The sequence below is a fragment of the Homo sapiens genome, chromosome 2, assembly GCF_000001405.40.
Source record: "Homo sapiens chromosome 2, GRCh38.p14 Primary Assembly".
NCBI lineage: Eukaryota > Metazoa > Chordata > Mammalia > Primates > Hominidae > Homo > Homo sapiens.
The window spans coordinates 102753984-102774943 of NC_000002.12; the positions used below are offsets into that span (position 1 = coordinate 102753984).

Sequence of the window (20960 nt, forward strand, 5' to 3'; positions counted from 1 at the left end):
TGGGTAAAGGAGGTAGTAGAGAGGACGCCACACAAGAATCACAAACTGTAATACAAAACTAATATTAAAGGGTCAGTAGAATCACAGAGACATGCGGCTCATAGGCAGTAAAAATCTGTTTCAATAATTATCATAGGGAAGCAATTGTTCTTCGGGTCATCTCTCAGTTTACCGTCTTGTGTCTAGGATGATGGGCCACAGTCCCTTATGTGTAATCCTTTGGGCCAGATGTGTTTAGAACTCAGAATTTTGGAGATTTTAGAAAAGTAACACAATACATATACTGTGCATTACCTAACACCCACTCGTGGAACCTGGGGAACCTTGAAATAAATCAAACACATTCGTATTTATGCCATAAAATATATGAGAATCCACACTGTATGGCCTCATGTTGGTCAGATCTGCTTTGCCAAAAGCTTTGGGTTTTCAGAGACTTTTGGATATTAGGGTGGCAGATGAAGTATTGTACACCTACAACATACTATCCTATGAAAAAAAGAATCTACACTAAAATCTCCAAAAAAGATGTCAGAACTTTCTTTGGTAAACCATTCCAGTTTTCTAGAACATGGATTTGCAGTGTGTAGAAGCTATGGGAGTTTGATTTCTGCATTTGTTTAAAAATTTGTTCTGCATCGTTAGGTGTTGAGCAATGGCATGCTTGTGTTTTTAAACAAAAGTAGACTAGAATTAATTTTGTTTTGGGAATGTTTAAATCATTTCATCAGATATTTTGAGCTAATTAAGAATATTGCAACATTAGGATTAGAAATTTTGACTATAGAAAAAGAATGTTTTGCTTATGATCACTTAATAACGTGACTTGAGATTTCTGCTGAGTTTCAGTGTACCTACTGATAATATAAACAATTTAATAAAAAGTTAAGTAAAAAGATACTGAATCAAAGCAGGCAAAGCCTTCTGTTGCTTATAGTCATCCAGCTATTGCTTATCCAGTTTTATTTAACTTGTGAAAACCAGGGTAGAATTTACCGTAATGGAATGTTATTGATCTTAGTGGACTCTAGATTTTAACAGATTGCTTTTTAATTTTGTAATTTAAGAAACAAACTTAGAACATTTTCACTGCAATTTCTCTAAGTGAATAGAGACCCTAAAAGAAATATTATTTCCAGGAAGCTGGAAGAATCTCCAAATGAAGTTATGACTGAAATAAACAGGATAAGAGGGAAAAAAAGGATAACCAGTGAGGTCACAGAGCTTTTCAAATGAAAGAACCATACCAGTGTTCTTAGCCAGGCACGTTATTCCTTCAGATATCTGATTTTACAAATTGACTTTGTTAATTTGTTTTATTGTTGAGTCCTTTCCTTGTTCGCAAAAGTATTCCAAGCAGTGCATATAAACACATGCAAAAATGTGAGGAGCACAGGAAGGAAATTAGGGAAGGCAGGGTGAAAGCTAGCACGTCACCGTTTGTATTTAGCCTCCGATCTTACCAGGTTCCAAAGTGAAGAGAGAAGCACTCTCAGTTACATGAGAGTATTACCTCACTGAGGCCAGAGAGCACATTCTAGTCACTGTATCCACCCAGGCACAGCATGGTATGTCTTGGAGCAGGCAAGTGATATATGCTTGATATTATGAATATTTGTCAAATGAATCAAGATTTATAGTGTCTTTAAGATGAAAAATAACAGTAGTGCTCTGTAGAAATTCAGCTTGTATTTAGCACTCAGACACTTCCCTCTGGCCTTTGTAAGGGGATGCTATTTGTAGGGGCCAATGTCCCCAGTAACGTCGTTAAGAATAAGGGGGCAAATTGTATATGGGCTTTTCTTCATTTGCTCATTCATTATTAAACTGATTTGATTGTTGAAGAAAACATTTATTGACTCAATTTGTTCCACAACATGTGGATTCTAAAAACCGTCTAGGAAAGGGAGAGTGTAATTAAACACATATGAAAACTTGTATGAGTTATGTGAATCTCCTTGCAGAGTGTTGCCGTTAACACTTAAAGAACATGTAGTTCATAGTAGGCACTTGGTAAATATTTATTGAAGGAACTAATGAAGAGGTCATCAGGTAGATGGAAGAAAAAAGCATTCTAATCAGATGGGGAACAAGCAAAGATTTGAGGAGCTACTGGTGCTCCAGGAGGAAGGATGATGTGTGTGTATTGGTGTGGGAGCAATGGGAACACCTGGTGAGAAATTAGTCTGGTTTGGTGAAATAGATTTAAATCAGATTTGCAGTGCTAGCAAAGGCAGTTTTATTTTATTGTGTTTTTTGCTTTTTAATTTTGTTTTATTATTTGTTTTTTAATTTCTTTGTCAGAAATGTGATCTCCACCTAAAGTGGAATATAAAGCTAATACATAGAAACACCGCTCATTTGACACACGTCATCTTACCAAGTACCCCTAATAATCCTCTGAAGCAGTATTCCCATTTTCCATATTAAAAAACAGAAATCTGCCGGGTGCAGTGGCTCACGCCTGTAATCCCAGCACTTTGGGAGGCTGAGGTGGGTGGATTAATTGAGATCAGGAGTTGGAGACTGGTCTGGCCAACATGGTGAAGCCCCATCTCTACTAAAAACACAAAAAATTAGCCAAGTGTGGTGGTGCGTGCCTGTAGTGTCAGCTACTTGGGAGGGTGGGGTGGGAGAATCACTTGAACCCGGGAGGCAGAGGTTGCAGTGAGCTGAGTTCCTGCCACTGCACTCTAGTCTGGGCAACAGAGCGAGACTCCGTCTCAAGAAAAAACAAACAAACGGAAACTCAGAGAGTTGAGCCATTGGCTCAAGATCACTCATTAATGAAAGGAAACTCCAACTCTTCTTAATTAAGCACAATCCCATTCTTTTTTCCTTTTTTTTTGAGAGGGAGTCTCACTGTGTAGCCCAGGCTGGAGTGCAGTGGCATGATCTTAGCTCACTGCAACCTCCACCTCCGGGGTTGAAGCAATTCTCTGCCTCAGCCTCCCAAGTAGGTGGGATTACAGGCACCTGCTACCACGCCTGCTAATTTTTGTATTTTTAGTAGAGACTGAGTTTCACCATCTTGGCCAGGCTGGTCCTGAACTCCTGACCTCGTGATCCACCTGCCTCGGCCTCCCAAAGTGCTGGGATTACAGGTGTGAGCCACCGGGCCTGGCCAAAATCCTATTCTTAAGATTGGCAAGGAGGGAGAGTAGAGTATCTACATGGGGAGCAGACCTGCTACCTATTCTTTCCCCCAGGCTCATCTACTCTTGGACAATCACTCCACAGTCCCTACTCAGCCCCTTTGCCTCCTCATTTAGACTTGGGAGCACAGGGAGGACAGGCTGAAAGTCTTAAACAAACATTTAACATTTAGGAAATTAACATTGTCGTTACCCATAAATTATTGTGAGTTGCCTTTAGTAGTGGGACCCCATGAAGATCCCTCTTTGCTTACCTCTGTCCTTCGTGTCACAGAGAAGATCTTTAACTCCTCCAACCATGAAGACCTTCAGAAGATGAAATTCCTGCCCAGGAGAGTGGATGCCCACAGAGACACTGGTTGTTTCATATTCTGCCTACTAAAGACTTATCTGTATTCAAGGTATTGGAGTACTCGTCATGGTGCCTGCCACTTGGTAGAGTCTTATGCATATTAGCTACTATTAGGCACCTCAGTTTACATTTTTGACAATCAACTTCTTCTACAGTATTGATCCTGAGACATGATGCTTATTCTTGTGGCCCTGATGACTCAGTGTTTTATTCTGTTCTCACGCTGCTATAAAGAACTGAACTACCAGAGACTGGGTAATTTATGAAGAAAAAAGGTTTAGTTGACTCACAGTACTGCAGGCTTAACAGGAAACATGACTGGGAAGCCTCAGGAAACTTAGAATCTTGGCGGAAGGCAAAGAGGAAGCAAGCATCTTCTTCACAATGTGGCAGGAAAAAGAGAGTGAAGTGGGAAGTGCTACACACTTTAAAACTATCAGATCTCATGAGAACTCACTCACTATCATGAGAGCAGCAAGGGGGAAATCCATCCCCATAATCCAATCACCTCCCACCAGGTCCCTCTTCCAATCTGACATGAGATTTGGGTGGGGACACAAATCCAAACCATATCACTCAGTGTGATAACCTTATCAATGTAAAGATAGAGTCAATATTCCCATAAGGAATAGATACATAGACTAGCAATGGAGCCGTTTTATTATAGGATTATTAGGAGTTGAGGTTGAGGCTTAACCAGCCCTTTCTATTGAAAGGCCCCTTTTCCTGGCCTTTCATTAAAAAAGAGAGAGAAAGGGAAGAGAGAACCTATGTCTCAGTTTGTAAATTTGTGAAGAACACCACAGCTGCTTAACAGCCTTCCTAGTGCATGGACATTTTCTTAGGCTTCTAAGATTACTTGGGGAAGCAACACTGAATGGCTGTTAAAATTCCTTAGGAATCATGGAAAACTAGAAGAGTTTCAAGTGACAGGCAAATGTCCAATTTTCTGAAGAAAAAAGACACCTTTTACCTCCTCCATGGTAAGCTCCATTTCATGTCTTCATTAGCAAAAGTCTAATAAGGATTTGTTAAAAGATGGTTTGAAAACATCTGTACAGGAAACATGCACCCTGCTAAAATCCAGCTCTCCAGAGCTTAACAAGTACCAAGCTGGGCCAGATCAGCACTGTTTCTTTTGGGGGTAGATTGCCAGTTGGATTGCTCAGGAGGTCATGTATTTGCATCTCAGCCAAGACTCCTAACACAAATTGATTTCTATTTTATTTCAGTGCCTGTTGTGTGCCAAGTCCTATGCTAAGCATTGAAAATTATCAAGCTAAAATGGCTCAGTTTTATGATAGCAAAAGTATTCTATTTTTCTCAATAGATGAACACATATGAAAGGTTGGAAATTCTGAAGTTAATAAAATTAATGGCTGATTTAATGTATTGAATACACATACCTAGTTCCTGAGGCAATGCCCCCCTAGGGAGTGGTCTTTCATGGCATTTATCCGGGCTCTTCCCTGTCCTATAAACACTCTAGCTACATTTTTATGGTGATGTTTATATATTTTTCATAAACCAAAAATGGTGAGAAAATGTTATTCATTGATGAACCTAGTCCAGAAAGATGATCCTTTTCTCTGACAAAGACCAAAATTGTGATAAATAGTAACAACAAAGTCTTATATTCTTTTCCCCTAATTAAAAAAAATCTACTTTTATATATGCATGTGTTAAAGATTTAGTATTATTGCATGGAATTTGAACCATAAACCATTGAAATATAAATAAGATAAATAAAATCTTCCTATCCAACAGATTGCTCCTTCTTTCCAAACAACAACACTGTCACCTACAACCACAACTGTACAACCACTGCAACCACAACCACACTAATCCAGGGAGGGGGCGTGTGGGGGAGCAGTAAAATGTGTACAGGATGACCAGAGCTCATTATTAAACCTCCATATATTTTGTTCTAACAAATCTTTTTTTTACCCCCACTAGCTTATGAACTCCTCAAAGTCAGGGCCTATATATTGTAACCTCAATATCTGATAAAATGCCTGGACCCTCAAAAGTCCACAATAAGCACTTCTGAAGATGTATTCCCCTCCCCTGCAGAAAACTTAGTTTGCTCTAATATTGCATTAATTATAGAATAGCATGTGTATTAAGTTTATATTGCTACTATAACAAATTGTCCCCAAAGTAATGGCTTAAAACAATACAGATTTGCTATCCCACAGTTCCAGAGGCCAGAAATTCCACAGGGATCTCACTGAGCTCAAATTTGTGGACAGGGCTCCATTCCTTCCTGAAGGCTCAAGGGGAGAATCTGTTTTCTTTCCTCTTCCTACTTCTAGATGCACTCTATATTCCTTGGCTTGTGGTCCCCTTCCTCTGTCTTGAAACCAGCAACTGTCTGACCCTTTTGCTGTGGTCACCTTTCTCTCTCTGGCCACTCCGCTAGGACAGGTTCCCGGGTTTTCATGTAAGGTTTCCTGTAATAAGATTGGGACCACTTGTGTAATCCAGGATATTGCCATGTAAAATAACATATTCATAGATTAGGATTAGGGCATGAACATTGTTGTGAGGCCATTATTACTCTTAGCCAGCATCCAGGTAAGAACGGCTAGAATATACCCAGAATATTTTACTATGTCTCACTTCAATCAAGCACTTGAAAATTGTAGGAAAAAACCAGAACGGAGAGGAGGAGGTCTGGAGTTATACCAATCTCAAGGCGTTTAAAGGAAGAGAGTGTTTGGCTTAGAAAAATATAGCTTAGACCTCTATATAGGGGTAGGGAAGGAGTGTGATTGATGAGGCGTGGGTGATGGCTATCTTTAAAATATCAGAAGGTTCTGTCACAGACAGAGGATTGAAACTTGTGCTTCACAATCTCAAAGGACAGAATAGAATAAATATCTGGAAACTCCTAGGATGCAGCTTTTGGCAGAAAATCAGGCAGAGCTATTATGGCTGTTACTGATGTCCTTAAATGCCACAGGCTGGAAATGTCATAGCTTGATGGTGTGGGAAGTCTTATAAAAAATATTTAAGCATTAGATGAGGGATTAGCTCAGATGACCCCTTAACTTAAATCTAATCCTTAATGATTGTGTAACATTCTATATGGCTTAGAATTCTATTCATGTTTTTTTTTGTTTGTTTGTTTTTTGTTTTTTTTGAGAGTTTTGCTCTTGTTGCCCAGGCTGGAGTGCAATGGCACGATCTCGGCTCACTGCAACCTCAACCTCCCGGGTTCAAGCGTTTCTTCTGTCTCAGCCTCCTGAGTAGCTGGGATTACAGGGGCCCGCCACCATGCCCAGCTAATTTTTTGTATTTTTAGTAGACATGGGGTTTCACCATGTTGGCTAGGCTCCTGGTCTCCACCCGCCTCGGCCTCCCAAAGTGCTGGGATTACAGGTGTGAGCCACCGCGCCTGGCCTTATTCATAGCTTTTGAATACCTCTGATTGCATATAGCTACATCCTAACAGGGCCCTTCATCTTTATTGAGAATCTTTTTGTTCTCACAGAATCCATTGTAAGGATCTATCCCATGCCACAAAAAAGAAGGCGTGAAGAAAGCTGGTAGAGTTGAGATGCCCCCTTGGAAGATTAAGTATTCCAGATTATTGTTGAGAATATAAAAACAATAACCAAAGGAACGGTGCAAGATTTTAAATGCACACAAATACTTAGAAAAATACTCTCCTCTGGCATATCAGACAGAAAAACAAAACAAACAAATAAGCTGTAAAGAGTTAAGCCTTGAAGAAAGTGTAGATTCATTGCTATTAGGTGGTCTGTGTGAGTATTAAGTATGATTCATATTTTGAGGAAGTGAGATATTTTAAAATGAAGGAAAAAGAAGTCGATCAGGTTATTTCATCTTAATTCAGGAAATAATACATTTTTGAGACTTTTTTCATCAGTCCACTTTGGGGATGATTATTTGGAATAACTTGTATAAGACTCATGAGGCTGCTGCAGAAAGTGTTGTTTTTATGTCACTAGTGTATGCTGCATAAAAGCTCTTCTTTATACTTTCAACAATTATGTTACCATGAACATTCTTGACCTTTTAAGTATACCTCTGAATGTTTAGATTATAAACGTGAACTGTACTGTGTTATGTTAGACTATTTGACCAAAAACGTATTTTCTACCACAAAAAAAGTCCAAAAGGAATTAAGTTAATTACAACTTCAATTGTGTTCAAGATCGGTCTTTGTGGTTCTTTATATCTGTGATTTATATATCTTCAAAGAGAGTCTTAAGTGTCTTTGGGATTGTAATGGGCATTCTAGACTAAGAGGAGCTTGTTCAGACACAAGATTTGGGGCCAATGCTTTCAATGACTTCATAACCATTCCATCTTCTTTCTACTTCTGTGGATTACCCAACAGCAATAATGATAATCTGAGCCAGTTCCTGATACTTCTCTCTATAGTCAAGAGAAGGTCAGCTATTTTTTGATCCCCATGGGAGAAAGACAGCTCCTCAATCACTATCTTAAAATAGCCAGCAATTCTCAGCTGCTGGGCTGGAGTTCCTCCAGGGGCGAGCAAAGGGAATATGAATCTGCCGGTGGGGCGTGAGCGAGAAGCCACCAAAACATGAGCTAGGACAGCCTTCTCAAGAAGATTCTGCCAACTCAAAAATATTATTCTTTTTTTTTTTTTTTTGCTGTTGTTTCTGAGAAACTAGGTGTCTTACCATTTTAAAATTTCATATTTTATTTAAAAGGAAACCAGTGAATTGAAAATGAGACTAAATATCGCTATCTTCTTTGGAGCTCTCTTTGGTGCTTTGGGGGTGTTACTCTTTTTGGTGGCTTTTGGATCGGATTATTGGCTTCTTGCAACTGAAGTGGGGAGATGTTCAGGTGAAAAGAATGTGAGTCTCTTCTTCAAAATAGTGATGCACATGGTAGTTATGAAGATACCCTTATGTATGCTCTTGAAATCAGAGAATAGTAGTGGAGTGTCTATTTCTTCATGGAAGAGATATGTAGAAAGCTACTGAGCTTCATTATTTGGGATAAAATACATGTCCTTAAAAATTTACTGGCTGTAATGATTTTGATTATATTTCTTGTATTGATGGCAAGTTACTTCATTTTGTTCTGTGCAGATAGAGAACGTCACTTTTCACCATGAAGGGTTCTTCTGGAGGTGTTGGTTTAATGGGATTGTGGAAGAGAATGACTCCAATATTTGGAAGTTCTGGTACAGTAAGTACAATTTAGCTTTATTTTCCCTCTTGTCTGTAAAATAAAAATGAACAGTTTCTTACATAGTATATGTCACTTCTAGCGGACTGGATTGTGAGTTACAAAATCTCAATTAGATGTCTTTAAAAGGTTCATCATGTAGAGATTCCTTTTCAGTAAGTAGACATGGCTATAGGAATAATTATTTTATCTTTTAGCATAAAACAGGAGTCTGAATATTTATGGCAAAACTGAATTATCCATTGTTTCACTGCTCCTGTTTAGAATACACTAACTCTAACAAACAGGACAGGTATTGTCTATAGCATTTTTTCAAGTGTGTGAATACTATGTTGCAAATAAATAAGATTTTTTTGCTATCAGCCCTTGAAATCTCAAATGTAAAAATCCATAAATAGAGATGTATTATTTTATATTCATAACTTCAAAGTTAACAGTATATTTTTTTTAAAAAAATCATGGAACTTAATTACCAGCCATGGCAGATGAAAGCTTATATTATTTGAGCTTTAACCAAGTTTGTTGGCACTATCAAGAAGTGCCTTGCTTTTGATGTTTGTGTTCTCATTGAAACTTTAAAGTTCTTTTTTAAGGTAGCATAACTTTTAAAAACTATAATGCATTTGTTCAACTCTATTCTTTATATTGAATTAATCTTTGAAAATCAATTTATTGAAAATAGCTAGCGCTTATTTCATTGTATTCAACAATGAAAGGGCTGTTTATTAGCCTAAAGCTTATTGAGAATTGAAATTATTAGTCTTCTTATCAAAAATCAAAGTATGGTATTTACATAATAGTCAGGATTATGGAATATTTAATAAAAATAGGAGGTCCCTGAAGACTTAAGCAAGCTGGTGATAAGTTGGCATATATAAGGAACAAAGTAGTGATGAAGCAGCGTTTTGAGGCAAGTACCTGATAGACTATCTTACAGTGGATTTGGGGGCAGGAGAATAAGCATACAACTTGCCAGTGGAAATGGTTTAGACTTTAGTAAAGGGAAGTAAGTCAGACTGTGCAAGAGGAAGATTTTGCCAAAGACTTGGAGAAAGAAAGAATATTTCAATATTTCAGTCCACCTTAAAGTGTACATATAAAAATTTTAAGTTCTCAGACAACATAAAAGTGCCTTCTTGTGATGTTTTCAAATATTAAAAATTTATTTGAATTATTGTATAACTTATCATTTGCATTCTTCCCTAAAATAAAATGGATATAGAAGAATTTTTTTATTAATTTGAACTAATCAAGGTTAAACTTAAGTTTATTAGATTTTTAAAACAATTATTTTTTATTCCCTACTGTGTGCTAGACACTGTTGGGTACTGGAGAGTATGTGAAAAAAGATGAAATGTGGTACCTTAAATCGTAAGGTGATATAAAGGGCATTTGCATTTATTCCATTGAATTATGTCATGTAGCTAGATGTTCTGGATGAATCCACCTTCGTCTCATGTGCATCTTGATATGAGTTTCCTAGAAGGCCTTCCTCCTCACAACAATTCGCTGAATTTGCTGATGGAACCAGTAGTTTTGTTTTGCTTGTGTAACCCTTGTGCTCTGTATTTCTGTTCCATTAAGGATGAGTCATGACTGAGCTTTTCAATAACAAGTGCCATTGTTTTGCTGTTCTTCCTAGCCAATCAGCCACCGTCCAAGAACTGCACACATGCTTACCTGTCTCCGTACCCCTTCATGAGAGGCGAGCACAACTCGACCTCCTATGACTCTGCAGTTAGTAAGTACCCTCTGTCCTCAGCCTACTTCTAAAAGGGTCTTATCTTTCTGAAGGATGCCCAGATCAAAATTGTTGTGAGCAATTAAAAAAATAATTTAAGACCTGTAATTTCAATATTTTTGATATCTGTTAGATTAAAAAATGTTATTTTTAATGTGCCATTTATAATTTTAAAGAACATAACTTTGATCTAAAAGTAAAGTCATTGTAATTTACTAGCTGCCTATAAAAGTATTTTTAAATGTGTTTTCCCATATGAAGATAGTAATATTTATTAAGAAGAACCGCTTCTTAAGGTTTTAACAGACCTAAAACGAGTCCTACAGTTGAGAATATTGTAATATACATCATACTTCTAAAACTTTATGTCATCATTACACATGAGAATATCACAGATAAATATATAATATGTATACAATAAATATATATGATATAAATATGTAATTATGCTACTATATTTATACAAAATGACTGAACTCTGTGTGTGTAATATCCCATAGGAGACAGACAGACAGATATCATTAACTTAAAATCACATTAAGAACATGAAATTTGTAATAACTTGCTAAGGGTTGATACAGACTATCAATGTCATATATAGAACAAAAAAGTGTTTTTCAAAAATAGTAGCTATTATATTTAATGTTCTCAATAAATTAATATTAGTCAGGGTTCTCCAGAAAAAAGAGAAACAATAGAACACATAAATATATATTATATACACACATACATGTATATACATATGCATGTGCACATACACATACACACATAGAGAGTGAGAGAGAGTGATTGTAAGGCCTGGTGAGTCTGAAATCTACAGGGCAATTGGCAGGCTGGAGATTCAGGTCAGAGCTGATGTTGCAATCTCCAGTCTGAAGGCTGGACACTCCAGTAGAATTTTTCTTCTGCAATCTGGAAGCTGACTTTCTTTTTCCTCAGGACACCTGTTTTTTCTCTTTAAATCTTCAACTGATTGGATGAGGCCCGCTCATAGTATGGGGTAGGGGGTAATCTGCTCTACTCAAAGTCAAGGGATTATAAAAGCTAATTGCATCTAAAAATACCTTCACAGCAATATTAAGCTGGTATTTGACCCAACAACTTGGCACCATAATCCAACCTAGTGGATATATAACAATAACCATCACAGAACTCAACACATCTTTACATGGAACTATTTTTCATCTTCCTGTTAAATATGTAATTCCATACATTATAATTTTTAGTTTTGTCAAAGAATGTAACATTTGCTTGTATTACATCATTAATAGGACACTTATAAAGAGGGTATGAGGTCTGGATAGGGAAAGAGGTGAGCTGACCCACAGCTGTGCTTGTCCACCAGGATTCCTTGGGTTCGAAGGACTGGGACCATTTTCCTTGAAAACATGTGTGGTATGGATGCTCCTTCCCATTAAAAACTGCAGAAGGCACCTCACTCACATTTGTCAAAACCTTTGTGTCATGTCTAATGGACTTAGAAGTATACAAGCCTACCTGTCACTAGTAAGGGAAGAGATGGATGGCATAGGAAAGAATAGGAGAAACTCTTTTGTTTTACAGACAAGCTAGAAAATGATGCTCCTTCCCCAACATTCTTACTTTTATAAAATGAACTGAAAAGTAATACAAGGTTGGCTTTCCAGAACATTAGGTATTAGCATAAATACTAGTATTGTTGTTATTCATATAATGAGGTCCTGTGATAAGATAGGTATTGTAGGCACTGTATATTTAAAAATGATCCCATATTTGAAAAGCCTGCACTTCAAGGAGATAGTGGAGAACTTGAAAAACAAAGTAACATAATCTGTGCATGATAATTATGATGGAGATGGATTGTAAATACATGTCAGAAAAATTATACTGCAGTTACACTTAAAATTATTATGTAGCACTGCATTTAATTAGTGTGTCACTTTTTTGATCTAGTGACAAAACCAAATCCAATTTTTTTAAATTATCAAATTCCTCATTGGCACACGTATTGGAACTCATTTACTTTCAGAAACTTTGTCAATCACTTTAGGTAGAAATGATTGAGATGTGCAAAGATGTGTTCTACAACAGAAATACTATACACAAGTTTCACTCATCTCCATAATAATATACAAGGAAATTTGATATTATCTTTGTTAAATTTGGGGTTTTTTTGTTTCTTTCCTGTATCCAAGAGAAAGGTATAGATTTCATTGGAAGCTTTGTACCTGACTTTTCAGTATGGTTTCCTAGTTAATGAGACTATGTATACTTCACTATGCTTTAGAGCTACTATTAAGTTTCATGTAGCTTCACAATTACCCAACATCAGATACTTGCCAGGTCACCTTTGGTAAATTGAAAGTATCATTTATAAATTCTGATGTATTGTGGCCTGGCAAATTGTTGGTGAAATGGCTTTATAGTGTCCTGAGTTTTTACAATTGCAGTTAGCCAATATTGAATTCAGTGAAAATAATATAGTGGTGTATGATTTTTCTGGAGTAACAATTTTAGAATTATAGGACACTACCGATGAAATTATCCTTTTATAATAAGGAGACTGGGAATCAGAGAAATCATGTGACTCTGTCTTCATACAGCTGCTTATTGGCAGAGCCAGTGCAAAGAACCAAGTCTCTGGCTTTTGTTTCATCGATAATCTACTAAACTACAATGAATGAAAAGGCTAATTGTAGTGCATACTATTAAAAATATGTCTTTAATTTGTATCTTAACAAAAGAACAAATTAAACTTACATTGGCTCTTTCTACCTTTATATTCAATTCTGACTTGTGTGTATGATCAGGTCTAATTCAGTGTTTTCTTTCTTTTAAAAGAATCTCAAATACATATTCTGAAATTCAATTATCCTCAAATCTAGTTATTTGAATGACTGGCCAGGCCTGGTGAGGGTGGTCTAATTCACAGAATTGCTTTTGAGGTAGGCTTGTGTACTTCTAAGTGCATTAAACAATTCTATTACCTTTGGAGAGTTGTCAGAGTCTAGATTTTCTGGTTTGTTTCATGTTTACATTCAGTCACAGTTCACTTGTTTGGTATCATTTGGCAACGATGTACTGAACATAAATGAATTTTCAAGACAATTCAACCCTGAGAGAATTAATTTTTTGCCTTCTCAGTGTCCCCATAGCCTTTGATGACCCCTCTATCAGAGTGCTCGTTATGCTTAACTGGAATTGTTTGTTTACTTCAGTTCCTTCATTATTTATTTGAGCTCTCCAAAGCATAGTTCCTGGTAATTACTAGATGCTTAAAAATATGTCTAGAATGACTTTATGCAAAATTACAGTTACTATTTTCTGCAATAAACTAGTTTGATTTTATTTTTCCAAGTGGAAATGTTTAGAAACTCAATTGCATACTTTTAGTTTCTTCTGAAGCAGAATGCAATGAACACAATTTCATCTTTTCTTGATGAGTGGGAACAAATATATACTTATGGGGGTGAGCCATCTGACCTTCTTTAAGGTCCTCCATCTCAGTATCTGTCCCCTTGCCCCAGGACCTGCCCTAAACTTCCCCAAATGCTGTTCCTCTCTTCCTTCCTCCTCCTCTGTTCATTTTTCTAACAGAGCGGGTTTATCTCCAGCTAGTTCAAACTTCAGTTTCCCAAGGAAGACTTCCTTACCTGCCCCTACGCCACTGGTACATGCACTGGGCCATGCTCTCCTTTATAAAACCCAGTCTTTAATTTGATAATTCATAGCACAGTTTTAAATTATTTACTCATGTAATTATCTTGTTCATATACTTTTTTTCTAGTTCAATTCTAAGCTCCATGAGAGTGGGAGTCTTGTATGTTTGACTCACTATTTTATCCACTGTAGACCAAAAGCTGAATGCATATTTTGGGGAGACTTCATTATTACACTGTACTGTGGTATTAATACTGATGCCCTAAGTCACTATTGATGTGCAGAATTTCTTTAGCTCTTTACTAAATGGACCTACACAACTCTTTAAAAAATTTGTTTGGCCAGGCATGGTAGCCAAAGTGTTGTAATCCCAACACTTTGGAAGGCTGAGGCGGGCAGATCACTTGAGGTCAGTTAGAGACCAGCCTGGCCAACATGGTGAAATCCTATCTGTACTAAAAAAAAAAAAAACACACACAAAAAAATTAGCCAGGAGGGGTGGTGCACATCTGCAATCCCAACTACTCAGGAGGCTGAGGCATGAGAATTGCTTGAACCTGGGAGGCGGAGGTTGCGATGAGCTGAGATCATGCCACTGCACTCCAGCCTGGGCAACAGAGCAAGACTCCATCTCAAAAAAAATTTATTTTTTTGCGTGCTTTTTGTAATTTTTGGTCTTCCACATTGTTTTCGCCTGCCAGCTGTGTTTTGCTTTTATTGTCAATGTTTATTTATCTAGTACTATTTTCTGGTCTTTTCTTCTTTCACCCTTATAGAAGTGTAAGCTGAAGTGAATGATGTGAGGCTACAAGCAGGGAGGCAGCGAGGCAAGATGTTAGTTGGCAATGCATTAGGCTGCAAGTAACAGAAAACAAAAAGGTTATTTTTCTCCTGGAACAAGAGGGTCAGAAGCAGCTTCCACAATGATGCTGCCAGGAACCCAGGCTCTGTCAACTGTTTCTTCTACCATCCTTGGGGGTGGACAGTCACCTTCATGCTCTTTCATCCTCAGAAAAGAGGAAGTGCTTCCAGAATTTAACAGTCAGTTTCTGCCAATGTTTTATTCATCAGAACAATGCCACATATCCCTCTGCTTGGGACATGTTGTTTTGGGCTGTCTAGCAACACAGAAGGGAAATGGAGAAAGCCTGGGAGTGAATGAAAATCAAAATCATTCAGTGAATCAGTATCATCAGGGGTTGAACAAAGGTGGGACAGTAAAAATGAAAAGGAAATAAAGAATATAATTGATATGTGAGGAGTTAACATGTAAAATTGGTAGCCAAACAAAAAAGAGCTGGAGGGATCAAGGATGATGAAGAAGTTTCCTTTTCAAATAGGTGTAATTCAGTTTAAATAACATACAGTAAAAAGTAATGTGGACACATACCTTCAAACAATAAGTATTATTTTAGTGGGTTTTTAATCCTTTTATATGCATATTATATTCTGTTTTAATCATCATAACTATACATGTCTATCTTGCTTTTCTGTTTTTATGTTAGCACACATTTCCCCATGTATTTACTTAGTGATTTCTCAAATTTTAAACATGTTGGTTGCTACCTCTGCATCAAAAATAATTCTATGTATGTAGCATTTTTTAATAATTTGTATTTACTCTTTGGGCTATATTTTCAGAAGTATGAATAGTGACTCAAAATATAGGAATAAGTTTTCTTTGGTGTTGTTATTGTGCCATACTATAAAATTGCTTGCCAACTGGTACTAAACTGTGAATTACTTTTGACTAAGAAAAGTTGGTAAGATGGACAGAAATCTGAGAGTTAAGAGGAGGGGGCATGTTTTGAAGTAGAGCATGGTGATTTACTTTGGTTTGGACGTATTAAACTTGAGTTGATGGTGGAATACCAGTTTGTAATAATCATTCAGCAAGTAGCTTGATATGCAAAACTGGTTTTCCTGAAAGTCATTAATTATAATCATTGATACTGATGAGAAATTGCAGAGGTGATTTTTGATTTCAAATATAATCTTTAAGGAAAACAATCATAGGAAAGAAGACAGTAAAATACCAATTATTCTTAGGGGAAGAAGGGAAGAAGAAAGACAGCCCACAAATGAGGGAGAGAAAGAAGCATTAAGAAACAAGTCAGCGAGCAGTCTGGTGCATTTTCTTGGGAAGGAGGCAGTGGTCTTCAATGTCAAACGCAGAATGAATGGACATGAGAAGCAGGCAGGAAGGAATTGGATCATAAGCCAATGATGCAAAAGTTCTTGGGGCCCAGTAGCTCCGTCTTCACCAAGGGCTCAGCTACAGACACCCATTAAAGTCTCCTTGTTCCAGGCACCTACTTCTATCCTAAATCCACCTGACACTTCCAGATCATCTGCTGTGTATCCCATCCCGGTTCACTGCTCATTCTCTTAGACAGGACCTGAGGACTCTGTCCTCTTTACCCTGCAATGCACTTCCTCCCTCAGGGATCCCATTCCATTTTCCTGCACATTTTGTCACCTGAGGATCCTCCTGAGAGCCAAACCCTACCTCAGGCTTCCTCCTTTCTTCTCTTCTCACAGGAAGAGAGGTTAGACAGCAGTGATCTCACAAAGGGGTTGTATCAGAATGATGGGAATGTGAAACCGCACACGGATGCTTGGGGAGTGAGCAGTGAGGAAGTAGAGACCTTTTCAATCAGCCAACACTGCGGCTTGGAATAGCCACCAACAGAGCACAGCATGGCAGAGGGTACAGAGTCCTTATAAAAACAGCCACATCCACACACAACAACTTGCTTTACCATGCAAGGCAAAATAAACTACAAACATGAATGTCCTTACATTTGGCAGTTTGAAACAGCACAGGAAGAATTAAGATTTGAGTCTAGAGTTTATAAAAATGTAAATTCTTAAATAATTTAGGAGGCACATCAACCTGTTGTAGGTATCTAATCTCATTGAGATACCCCCACCTCTGGCTTGCAGATCGATTACTCTGTGGTAGCTGGGTCTTATTTATCAGTTTTTTGGGTGTTCATGTATGGGGATTCTGGACATTGTCCTAAATACAGCAAATCACTCCAAATACTTCCACTGTGTTTTAGTTAGCTAGAAAAAACTATGCACCACAAAATGTAATGGAAAATGCAACTTAGCCTCCTTTTCCCATAAATGTCAAGTACTTAGATATTTGGAAATGCCTAACATCAACTTAATTTGCTGGTATTCGTTCAGACATTTGGGATCACACAGCCATCACCACAGACACAGTATCACGTTACAGGAGTGGCTGCAGTTCCTGAATAACAGCTGACTTTCATCTGGGACCCCAGCCCAGGCTCCATTGCATGCAGGCTTGGGGCCACTCCCAGAGTGGCTCACTGGGCTTCCACACACTCCAGCTCTTGAGGGTAGAGTTGGCTTGAAAGTTCTAGGGCACAACATCAAGGCCGTACTTAAAAATCACCTTTTTTCAGAGAGTGCCATTTTGTGTTCTGTACAATTTATTTGTGGGCTTCTGAGAATTGGTTGGCAGTTTATGTAATATCCCTGCAACGATGAGAGGCAATCGCTTTCTGAAAACAAGACCTGTGATTATCCCAGCAGCATGGCCTGGGTTCCCTTTGCAAAGGACAGGCTTCCACCTCCATGGAGGCTTCAGGAGATCCCTGAAAATGCCTTCCACACTTAGAAGCAGAAATCTCCTCTCACGCTAGGAACTCCTGATGTGTACAGCAGGATTTCTCAACCTTCACACTGTGGACATTGTGGGCCAGATAATTCTTTGTTGTGGGACTGTCCTGTGTATTGTGGGATGTTTAGTGGCACCCCTTTGCCTCTACCCAGTAGATCCCAGTTATGATAACTAAAAATGCCTCCAGACATTGCCAGGTGTCCTGGGTGTGGGTGGGCACAAAATCACCCTCTAATGAAAATCACTGAGGCCATCTAGACATTTAGTCCCAAAACTTCTAACCCAGGCCCAGGATCTTCTTTGAAATTATACTCATACTGCTTACACTGTGTGCTCAGCTCCAGGTCTGGGCCCAAACACACACAAGAATAGCTTCCTTCCACTGCCTTCTTTCATGCAGGGTATTCAAACCCCGAAGGAGAAAGGAGCTGTCTGGGCCTCTCTTATCTTGAAGCATTATGGCTTCTGCCTGAAACTTTGGACCTTTTCTTAGGAGAGAGCATCAACTAGAACCAGGGAAAAGCAATTATTGAGTGCCTGCTGTATACTGAGCACTGTTCTGGATGCTTCAGAATCAGCCCTAAATTCTTGCCCTCGTGGGGCTTTCATTATAGCGGGGAGGCTAAAAATAAACAATAAGTCAGTCAAGCACTTGGAAGAAAGTAAAAGATGAGAGGGGTGTGTGTGTATGGAGGGGACTTCCACACTGAGTAGGGTGACCAGGGAGGCCTCATGAACAGACGAGGTTTGTTTTGAGATAGACATCGCTGGGTTGAATGTGGGTCCTGCCATCCCATGAGCTATTTTGGAAGCTCCTCTAGTCCTTCTTTCGGGGACTAGATAGATGCTGTAGAGTGTTTAGCACAGGGACTGGCTCATGGTAAGGGTTCTATGGGGGTACAAGCTGGGCTTCCGGTCTGCCTTCATCACCTGGTGCCATCACTTTGTCTTAAGAACACTCGGGCAGGCTTCTTAATCTCCACAAACAGGTTTGTAAAAGGGAGATAAGAATAGTTTCAACCTCACAGTTGTTTTCAAAATGAAAAGACATCATAATACAAATGCTTGGCGGAGTCGTTGCCATGTAGTTGGTATTCAATAAATGTCAGCTATTCTTATGATGATATACCAATTTAGAGCACCAAAAATAAGACATCATTAGGGCACATAAATTCATCACAGCTTCTCCCTAGTGAAACACTTTCTGCTCTCTGAAGGGTGTGTGTGTGTGTGTGTGTGTGTGTCCACATAAGGCATTTGGCAGACTTTCCAGCCAAGAGTTAGTGCTTCATAGACACATGTTCATTATTGTCATTATCACTGTCATCCTAGTACATGGTAGTTAATATTATGCCATCTGTACTGACCAAGATATGCCACTCTTTAGCTGGTAATTGTGATTAAAATTTATTCAACAAATATTTTTTGAGCACATACTATATGCCAGACACTTATTTTAGGTTCTGGGGAACAGTAGTCCAAAAAAAAAAGGATAAAAGTTCCTGCCCTCAGGGGGCTGACATTTGGGTGAGGGGAATCAGATGAAGCAACATAGCTTGGCCGATTACACAGTAGTTAGAAGATGATAAGTGCTCTGGAGAAACCTAAGACATGGACAGGGCTGGGGACTAAGGGGGTGGATATAAATAAGAGCTCTGTAATGTGGCCAGGGGAAAGCACATCTCTGACATTGGAGTGGAAACCAGAAGAAAGCGAGGGAGCGAGCCATGCAATGAGAAGAAGGGTGTTCAAGACAGAGGGAACACTGCAAAGGCTCAGAGGTCAGGGCATACTTGATGGGTGACAACAACAGAAGCGAAGTGGACAGCTGGCAAAGAGCAAGTGAGGGGAGCTTAGAAGACGTGGTCACAGAGGCAACTGGGGAGGCTGAGCTATTGAAAAGACATTGGCTCATCCTCTGAATGAGATGAGAGGGGGAACTAATGAATGCTTCCAATCTGACATATTATACAATAACCTCTCCAGCTTGTTGTATCATTAGCAGCCTATGGAAAGGCAAGGGAGGAATCAGAGAGTCCATTTAGGAGATTTGATGTATTCCAGATGACTAGGACCAGGATATTAGGAGGTAAAAATGTGTCTCATTCTAACACAGTCCTATTAAAATTATTTAACTACCATAAGGGAATCTATCAAATGAACATCACCCGTAAAAAACAAAACAAAATAAAACACCAAAAAACTGTGTATATATGGGTTGCTATGTACTTTAAAATATCAGTTCTGGAATTTTTTTAATTTTAGATTTTTTAAAAAACTATTTCATTTTAGAAATTTTTAAATTTTCACAGAAGTAAAGAGATAAGGAACTCATATGTTACCATCACACAAATGTAATAATTATCAACATATCTTATCTATACATCTGTATAAATCTATGTAAATAATCCACACTGAATTATTTTAAAGCAAATTCCAAACATCATATACTTTCTACCATAAATATGTCCATATGTATCTTTACAGATTCTGCACATTCTCTGATGTTTTTTACACTTTCTTTCTTTCTTTTTTTTTTTTTTTTTTTTTTGGTGACAGAATCTCGTCCTGTAGCCCAGGATGGAGTGCAATGGTGCTATCTCAGCTTACTGCAACCTCTGCCTCCTGGGTTCAAGCAATTCTCCTGCTTCAGCCTCCTGAGTAGCCGGGATTACAGGTGCATGCCACCATGCCTGGCTAATTTTTTTTTTTTTTGTATTTTCAGTAGAGATGGGGTTTCACCGTGTGTTAGCCAGGATGGTCTCGATCTTCTGACCTTGTGATCTGCCCGCCTCAGCCTCCCAAAGTGCTGGGATTACAGCCATTCCTTAGGTCTTACAGATTTTTCTCCCACATTTTCTTCTAAAAGTTTTATGAATTACGCTTACATTTCTGATACATTTTCAGCTAATTTTTGTATAAGATGTGAGTCTCACTCTTTTTTTGAAGATGTGTGTCCAGTTGTTCCAACACCCTTTGTTAAAAAGACTGTCCTTCCTGCATTGAGTTGCTTTTGCATTTTTGTCAAAAAATAGTTGATCCTACTTGTATGGGACTAATTTTTAGATTCTGGATTCTGTTTCATTGATCTATGTCTCTATTCCTCTGCTAGTACCACATCAGTTTAATTATTTATCTATCTAGTAAATGTTGAAATTAGATAGAGTGATTCTTCTTATTTTCTTCTTTTTTAAAAAAATTGTTTTACTTAGTCTAGATTAT

At 38.2% G+C, this 20960-nt stretch overlaps 1 protein-coding gene across 10 annotated transcripts in view; it reads left to right on the forward strand.

Moving 5' to 3' along the window:
* The window catches only part of TMEM182 (transmembrane protein 182), a 106904-nt gene that overhangs the window by 17049 nt on the left and 68895 nt on the right, over nucleotides 1-20960 (forward strand). For 5 of the 10 annotated variants that reach the window (XR_427070.3, XM_006712287.2, NM_144632.5 and 2 more), the window contains exons 1-3: nucleotides 8048-8366; nucleotides 8604-8703; nucleotides 10346-10444. Coding sequence is in view for 9 of the 10 variants with exons in the window: in XM_006712287.2 (XP_006712350.1) it covers nucleotides 8235-8366; nucleotides 8604-8703; nucleotides 10346-10444 (331 nt within the window). In the remaining variant the exon portion in view is untranslated. Of the gene's footprint in view, nucleotides 1-3429; nucleotides 3557-4405; nucleotides 4491-8047; nucleotides 8367-8603; nucleotides 8704-10345; nucleotides 10445-20960 lie in introns of those variants that run through there. The other 5 variants (XM_017003376.2, NM_001321345.2, NM_001321346.2 and 2 more) reach the window with 3 other exon arrangements.